Source organism: Homo sapiens, chromosome 12, assembly GCF_000001405.40.
Source record: "Homo sapiens chromosome 12, GRCh38.p14 Primary Assembly".
In the NCBI taxonomy this organism is placed as follows: Eukaryota; Metazoa; Chordata; class Mammalia; order Primates; family Hominidae; genus Homo; species Homo sapiens.
The window spans coordinates 121,200,158-121,208,817 of NC_000012.12; the positions used below are offsets into that span (position 1 = coordinate 121,200,158).

At 43.9% G+C, this 8,660-nt stretch overlaps 1 long non-coding RNA gene across 4 annotated transcripts in view; it reads right to left on the minus strand.

The window, feature by feature from the left end:
- LOC105370032 (uncharacterized) overlaps window positions 1-8,660 on the minus strand; it is an 84,641-nt gene that overhangs the window by 74,726 nt on the left and 1,255 nt on the right. For 2 of the 4 annotated variants that reach the window (XR_001749352.3, XR_945459.4), the window contains exon 2: window positions 3,341-3,443. This is a non-coding gene — a long non-coding RNA (uncharacterized LOC105370032). Of the gene's footprint in view, window positions 1-3,340; window positions 3,444-3,521; window positions 3,687-8,428; window positions 8,624-8,660 lie in introns of those variants that run through there. The other 2 variants (XR_945460.4, XR_001749353.3) reach the window with 2 other exon arrangements.

Below are 8,660 nucleotides of genomic sequence, written 5' to 3' on the forward strand. Positions count from 1 at the left end.
CCATCTCTATCAAAAAAAAAAAAAAGATCATTCTCCCTGGATGAAGCAAGATGCTTCTCTTCTTTTGATGTGTATAATTTAGATTCTAACACACGCTGTTTTGTATCTTGCCTTGCCTTTTTCCTCACTTAACATTACAGCATAAGCATTTCCTCCATATAATTAAATATACTTCATAAACATTTTTAGGAGTAGCTTTAAAATTGTTTTTCTTTTCTTTTCTTTTCTTTTTTTCTGAAATGGAGTTTCGCTCTATCACCCAGGCTGGAGTGCAGCGGCACAATCTCGGCTCACTGCAACCTCCGCCTCCCGGGTTCAAGCGAGTCTCCTGCCTCAGCCTCCAAAGTAGCTGGTACTAGAGGCACCCGCCACCACACCCAGCTAATTTTTGTATTTTTAGTAGAGGCGGGGTTTCACCATGTTGGCCAGGCTGGTCTCGATCTCTTGACCTCGTGATCGGCCCACCTTGGCCTCCCAAAGTGCTGGGATTACAGGTGTGAGCCACCGTGCCCGGCCTTCTCTTAAGAAAAGTAATCAACTTCAGAGTAGACATTTTTAAAAATGCAGATAAGTATGCAGAGCAAAAATCATCTATAGTTTCACCCTTCCCAGAAAAACCAGTTAAGATTTTAATTTATGATCTGCCACACTTTTTTCTATAAACACAAAAATTTGAAGACCCAGTACACATATTGCCCTGTTATATTTTTCCATTTAATTATCTCAAATATCTTTCCACAGCATACTATCATTATTTTATTTTATTTTATCTTGAGATGGAGCCTCATTCAGCCGGGCGCAGTGGCTCACACCTATAAACCCAGCACTTTGGGAGGCCAAGGCGGGTGGTTCACCTGAGGTCAGGAGTTCGAGACCAGCCTGGCCAACATGGGGAAACCCCGTCTCTACTAAAAATACAAAAAATTAGCCAGGTGTGGTGGTGGGCGCCTATAATCCCAGCTACTTGGGAGGCTGAGGCAGGAGAATTGCTTGAACCCAGGAGATGGAGGTTGCAGTGAGCCAAGATCACGCCATTGCACTCCAGCCTGGGGGACAGAGCAACACTCTGTCTCTAAAAAAATAAATAAATAAAAAATAAAAAAGCTTTTCAATAGTTTTGCCTTGCTGGACTCACTGGGTTATGTCTGTAATCCCAGCACTTTGGGAAGCAGAGCTGGGAGAATTGCTTCAGGCCAGGAGTTTGACATCAGCCTGGGCAACATAGTGAGACCCCATTTCTTTCTTTTTTTTTTTTTTTTTAAGAATTTTAAAAAACGGGCGGGGCACAGTGGCTCACGCCTGTAATCCTAGCACTTTGGGAGGCCCAGGTGGGCAGATCACCTGAGGTCGGGAGTTCGAGACCAGCCTGACCAACATGGAGAAACCCCATCTCTACTAAAAATACAAAATTAGCCAAGCGTGGTGGTGCATGCCTGTAATCCCAGCTACTTGGGAGGCTGAGGCAGGAGGATTGCCTGAACCTGGGAGGCAGAGGTTGCGGTGAGCCAAGATCGCACCATTGCACTCCAGCCTGGGCAACAAGAGCGAAATTCCGTCTCAAAAAATAAAAATAAAAATAAAAAAAGTTAAAAACTAAAAAAAAAATCATAAATGTTACACATTTTCAACCAAGTAAAACGAAATAAAATATATAGATTTTACATTATTTCCATTCTATATATTACAATTTTTTCTTCGTGGCACAGTGACATGAAATTTCATTGTGAAATTTAAAAAGAAACAAACAAAAATTTGTTGTGAAAATCACATACAGGATTGATGAATTTGGGGCTGCCTCTTGTTTTCAGCAGTATCAGACAATTCCCCCACACTGCCTCTTGCAGTCACAGGTTATTCCCCATCCACCTTTTATTCTACGCTGCCTATCAAAGGGTGTGATCTCTGAGGTCTTTTACAGCCTAAAGACCGAATGTCAAATGTGCTAAGATGTCAAGATCCAGGTATTAGAATATGTCCAGCTCATCTGCAGGAATATCATCCTTCCCCATCTCCTCCATTTCAACAACCTGTAATTCCTCCCACCCACTGAATGGGAGAAAACATCTATAGATCATATATCTGATATGGAATTTGTATCTAGAATATATAAAGAAGTCTTACACTTTAAAACCATAATACAAGTGGCCGGCATGGTGGCTCACGCCTGTAATCCCAGCAATTTGGGAGGCCAAGGTGGGTGGATCATCTGAGGTCAGGAGTTTGAGACCAGCCTGATCAACAGGGTGAAACCCTGTCTTTACTAAAAATACAAAAATTAGCAGGGCATGGTGGTGGGTGCCTGTAATCCCAGCTACTACTTGGGAGGCTGAGGCAGGAGAATTGCTTGAACCTGGGAGGCGGAGGTTGCAGTGAGCTGACATCCCGCCACTGCACACCAGCCTGGGCAACAGAGAGAGACCCTGTGTCAAAAAAACGAAAAGGACGTTGGGTCTGATGGGGTTGAGAGGATTATCTGTGATCAACATATGGCCTGTTAGATAAGAGTCAGGGTTTTTCTGTTCTGTTTTTTTGCTTTTTGTTTTTTTTGTTGTTGTTGTTCCACAATAGATTCAGTCTCAAGCACTACCCAGGGAAAGCAACAGCAAAATTATAAAATAATTTATTCCTCACTTCTGCTATCAACTTGTTCTTTATTTAGACGTTCTGTTTCTGGAAGTATATATAATTATACTGTGTGCCACACGTATCTGTCATTCTGTTATACAATGACGTATTTCACAATGTCTATGTGCCAGATAAGCGAGTCTTACATCTTTAAATGCCTAAACATTTAATTTAAACATTTTTTCATTGTAGATTCTCCTAAACAAATGACACTGTCTCTTCTGACTGGCCTTTTGCGGCTCAAGGCCATTGTAACAAATGTCAGTCTTACATAACCATAACCAAATGACACCCTAAGGCACACTGAGGTCTCTAAACTAAATGGCCCCAGACTGATGAGCTTTTCGGAGTTCTTGGCTCTGCTTTTTATAGAAACATTTCTTTTTTATGGGCTATTTGTGTATCGCTGCTCTTAGTATTGGTGGCCTGGGGCAACGCGTCCCACCTCCTTCTAATTTGCTGCATTCAAACAAATGTTTGTTTTACCACCTACGTTACTGGTGACATAATACATTTTTTATCTGTTAGATCCTAGGGCTATAGACATAGTCTTTTCAATTCCAAGTTTCAGAAGGCTACTAGGTTAAGTAAAAAATGAACACTTATTATGAGATTATGGGGGTATCTCAAAGGTAAAGGTGAACGGGGGGAGGAGGCAGAACCAAGAAGTGGAAGCTCAACAGAAACCAGAGGCCGTTCCCTTCGTCTCTCTCACCTCTGTGCATCTTTGCCCGGCTGTTTCATACTTTTGCTTCTGCAGATTACTGTTCTCAGCTTCTCCATGCATACGATGGTTATGTCAAATCAGTTCCAGTCACCTGCAGAGAAGAAAGAGTTGTCACTATCCCAATGCCAAAGCCAGAGGAGAGACTGGCCCGGCTGGGTCAGTTTCCCACCTGTGGTCCAGTCAGCTGTGGCCAGGAAGATAAGGTCACATAGTATAAAAACAGCTGCTGCACCACCTCTGCGAGAAATGACAGCCTAGAGAAAGCAGGTACTGATGAACTGGCTTCACCAGCAACAAAGGAACCAGAAAATCGAAACTGCTCCAATCGCATCTGAACTAAAAAGAGGCCGGGCGCGGTGGCTCACGACTGTAACCCCACGCTTTGGGAGGCCGAGGCAGATGGATCGCTTGAACTCAGGAGTTCAAGACCAGCCTGGGCAACCTGGTGAAACCCCATCTCTACCAAAAATACAAAAAATTAGCTGGGCATGGTGGCGTGTGCATGTAGTCTTAGCTACTTGGGAGGCTGAGGTGGGAGGATTGCTCGAACCCAGGAGGCGGAGGTTGCACTGAGCCGAGATCATGCCACTGCATTCCAGTCCAGGTGACACAGGGAGACCCTGTCTCAAAAAGGAAAAAAAAAAGGTAAGCTTGGTGTGAGGGCCTGAGATGCTCCCCTGTGAAGAAGGAATATGACGTCTGGCCCCATGGATTCGTGGTATATACTTTGCTTTTCTTGAGACCTTGGTTGTTTACTCCCTGTTTACTGGAATTATTACTGAGACATAACTCACATACCATAAAATTTACTCTTTTTAAATGTACAATTCAGCGGCTTTTAGTATATTCACAGGTTCCGCAACTATCACCACTTTCTTTTCCAGCACATTTTCATCACCCTAAATGGAAACCTTGTACTCACCAGCAGCCACTTTCCATCCTTTCTTTCCCCCAGCCCCTGGCAACCACTAATCTACTATCAGTTTTGTTTTGTTTTGTTTTGTTTTGAGACGGAGTTTTGCCCTTGTCGCCCAGGCTGGAGTCCAATGGCGCGATCTCAGCTCACCGCAACCTCCGCCTCCCAGGTTCAAGCGATTTTCCTGCCTCAGCCTCCTGAGTAGCTGGGATTACAGGCGTGCACCACCATGCCCAGCTAATTTTGTATTTTTAGTAGAGATGGGGTTTCTCTATGTTGGTCAGGCTGGTCTCAAACTCCTGACCTCAGGTGATATGCACGCCTCAGCCTCCCAAAGTGCTGGGATTACAGGCGTGAGCCACCACACCCGGCCTCTACTTTCAGTTTCTATGGATTTGCCTATTCCAGACATTTCCTATACACAGAATCATACGATAAGTGCCCTGTGGCATCTGGCTCCTCTCACTCAGCGTGGTGTTTTCAAGGGTCATCCGTGGTGTGGCGCGTGTCAGTGCTTCCTTCCTGTGGCTGAATCATGTTCCATTGTATGGATGGACCACATTGTGTTTATGTGTTCATTAGTTGATGGACATTTAGATTGTTTCCACTTTTTGGCCATTATGAATGCTGCTATGAATACTCATGTACAAGTTTTTGCATGAACATTTTTCTTTTTCAGAGGAGGGGTGGAAGTTTATTTGAAATGCCTTAGGATGGGAAAGGAAGCTGTGCTTGGAAGAGGCCCAAGTGGGCATGGGAAGGTTAAAGAGACAAGGTCAGATGCCAAACATAGCTTTTCTTTTCTTTTTTTTTTTTCTTGATACGGAGTCTCGCTCTGTCACCCAGGCTGGAGTGCAATGGTGCGATCTCGGCTCACTGCAACCTCCCAGGTTCAAGTGATTCTCTTGCCTCAGCCTCCTGAGTAGCTGATTACAGGGATTACAGGCATGCACCACCATGCCTGGCTAATTTTTGTATTTTGAGTAGAGATGGGGTTTCTCCATGTTGCCCAGCCTGGTTTCGAACTCCTGGCCTCAAGTGATCCACCTGCCTCGGCCTCCCAAAGTGCTGGGATGACAGGCGTGAACCACGGAGCCCCGCCCAGAACATATCTTTTTAATTCTCTGGGGAAATCCTAGAAAAGGAATATCTTGGTCCTACGGTAATTTCTATGTTTAACATTTTGAGGAACTGCTGTTTTCCAAAGCAGCTGGCCCATTTTACATTCCCACGAGTAAAAAGCAGCTGGACCATTTTACATTCCCATGAGTAATGTGTGAGGGTTCCAGTTTCTCCACATCCTTGCCAGCTTTTTGATTGTCCATCTTTTTAATTATAACCATGCTAGTGGGGAGGAAATGGTATCTCACTGTGGCTTTGATTTGTATTTCCCTAACGATAATGATATCGAGCATCTTCTTGTGTTTATTGATCTCATGTGTATATCTTCTTTGGAGAAATGTCTATTCAGATATGTTTGCCCATTTTTAAATAGGGTTGTCATGTTATTGGTGAGTTTTAAGAGTTCTTACGATATCTGAAATACTAGATCCTTAACAGATATAGGATATGTGAATATTTTATCATTCTGTGGGTTTTTCCCTTTCTTGATGGTAACTTTGAAGCACGAACTTTTCAGTTTTGACAAAGTAGTCCAATTTATCTATTTTTTTCTTTTGTTGCCTTGCTTTAGGCAACAAAATCTAAATCTAAAAAACCACTGTCTAATCCGAGGTCACAAAGATTTGCCCCTATGTTTTCATCAGAGAGATTTATAATTTTAGCTCTTATATGTATGTCTTTGATCCATTTTTAATTTTCTCTCTTTCCTTATTATTTTTATTATATTATTTTTTTTAAGACAGAGTCTCACTGTGTCACCCAGGCTGGAGGGCAGTGGCACAATATCAGCTCACTGCAGCCTCCGCCTGCTGGGCTCAAGCAATTCTCCTACCTCAACCTCCCAAGTAGCTGGGATTACAGGCATGCACTACCACACCCGGCTAACTTTTGTATTTTTAGTAGAGATGGGGCTTCACCATGTTGGTCAGGCTGGTCTCAAACTCCCGACCTCAAGTGATCCACCTACCTCAACCTCTCAAAGTGCTGGGATTACAGGTGTGAGCCACACCTGGCCAATTTATTTTTTTAAAAATTTTATGTAGCTGGGACTACAACTACAGGTGCGTGCTACCATGCCCAGCTAATTTTTGTACTTTTTGTAGAGATGGGGTTTCACCATGTTGCCCAGGCTGGTCTGGAACTCCTGAGCTCAAGTGAGCCACCCACCTCGGCCCCCCAAAGTGCTGGGATTACAGGTGTGAGCCACCGCATCCCGCCTTCTTATTTATTTTTGAGACAGGGTCTCACTCTGTCACCCAGGCTGGAGTGCAGTGGCACAATTGCAGCTCACTACAACCTTGACCTCCTAAACTCAAGTGATCCTCCTGCCTCAGCCTCCCAAGTAGCTGGGACCACAGGCATGCACCAGCATGGCTGGCTAATTTTTAAAGTATTTATAGAGATGGGGGTCTCCCTATGTTGTCCAGGCTGGTCTCAAACTCCTGGGCTCTAGCAATCCTCCCAACTTAGTCTCTCAAAGTGCTGGGATTACAGGAATGGGCCACCATGTCTGGTCAATAAAGTTATTTTTTAAAAAGAGATAATCCAAGAGCAACAGTGTAAACAAAATAACTTTTCCAAATCATTTTTTAGGATCAGCTTCTTTGGTCAGGCCTAATGATGTTACCAACTAGTAATTTATAAAAACTTGCATTTCTACATTTTTCTTAACTGACCCCATTCCAAAACACAAGCAAACCATCTAAATTCAAGATTTGTGAGGTTGGGACTAACTCATTACTATAGGGTAAGTATGAATGAAGGCTGGAAATGTGTTTTGATTGCTGCCATTATTTTTTATTTTTATTTTTTCTGAGATGGAGTTTCACTCTTGTCGCCCAGGCTGGAGTGCAATGGCGTGATCAGCTCATGGCAACCTCCACCTCCCCGGTTCAAGCAATTCTCCTGCCTCAGCCTCCTGAGTAGCTGAGATTACAGGCATGCGCCACCACGCCCAGCTAATTTTTGTATTTTTAGTAGAGACGGGGTTTCTCCATTGTTGGTCAGGCTGGTCTCGAACTCCCAATGTCAGGTGATCCACCCACCTTGGCCTGCCAAAGTGCTGGGATTAAAGGTGTAAGCCACGTGCCTGGTGTTTTTTGGGGTTTGTTTGTTTGTTTTGAGATGGAGTCTGTCACCCAGGCTGGAGTGCAGTGGCACAATTTCAGCTCACTGCAACCTCCGCCTCCCAGGTTCAAGCAATTCTTCCTGCCTCAGCCTCCCGAGTAGCTGGGATTACAGGCACCTGCCATAAGGCCCAGCTAAGTTTTTTATATTTTCAGTAGAGATGAGGTTTCACCATGTTGGCCAGGCTGGTCTCCAGCTCCTGACCTCACATGATCATCCGCCTGCCTCGGCCTCCCAAAGTGCTGCAGTTATAGGTGTGAGCCACCGTGCCCAGCCATGTTTTGATTCTTAAGGAAATGATTTTTAAGTCCCCTTCCAATGAGGATTTAGCAATGGAGTTTTCTTCTTCTACAGATAATTTGAGGCTTCCCAATTGCACCAAACTCCATTTGGGCAGATACCTCACCTGTCCACTCCATAGCCCTAGCATCAAGAAAAGTGCCAAGCACACAACAGGCACTCAGTAAATTTCTGTCAAATGAATGAATAAAATACCACCACCTTTTCCTGAGACCATTTTGGACCAAGGCTGGCATGGGCATCTCTGTTCCTCCCTCTAACTTAAGAATTCCATCTCTTAGAGGCAGATGCTGCCTGTTTTCTGCAAATTTTATTATTCACCTTTCTATATTTGGAAAAACAAGTTGGTGTGGCTTACTTAGGAATCTCATATCCAGGAAATGAGCTAAAAATGTTGTATCAAAGATTATGCATAGGATCCACAAACTAAGAAGCAAGCAGATGAGAGCGGTTAGAGACATCGTGGTATATTTTCCGGAAGAAATGGTCCATGGATTAAAAATTGTCATTATGATGAGTCTGCAGTAACACAGAAACCACGTAGTGCGAATCAGAAAATGAAAAGCACAGCCATTGACTATGATTACAAACCAAAACTTTATACCAATTACCTGTTGGAATTTATGCTGCATGAAGGCAGGATATTTTGCTTGTCCTGTTCACTGGACAGTACTTGGCATAAAGGATGTGCTTATGAATATTTTCTGGGAAACTAAATATAACATTCACCTGTGAAAACACATCTGGGCCAGGCGCAGTGGCTCACGCCTGTAATCCCAACACTTTGGGAGCCCGAGGCGGGTGGATCATGGGAGGTCAGGAGCTGGAGATCAGCCTGGCCAA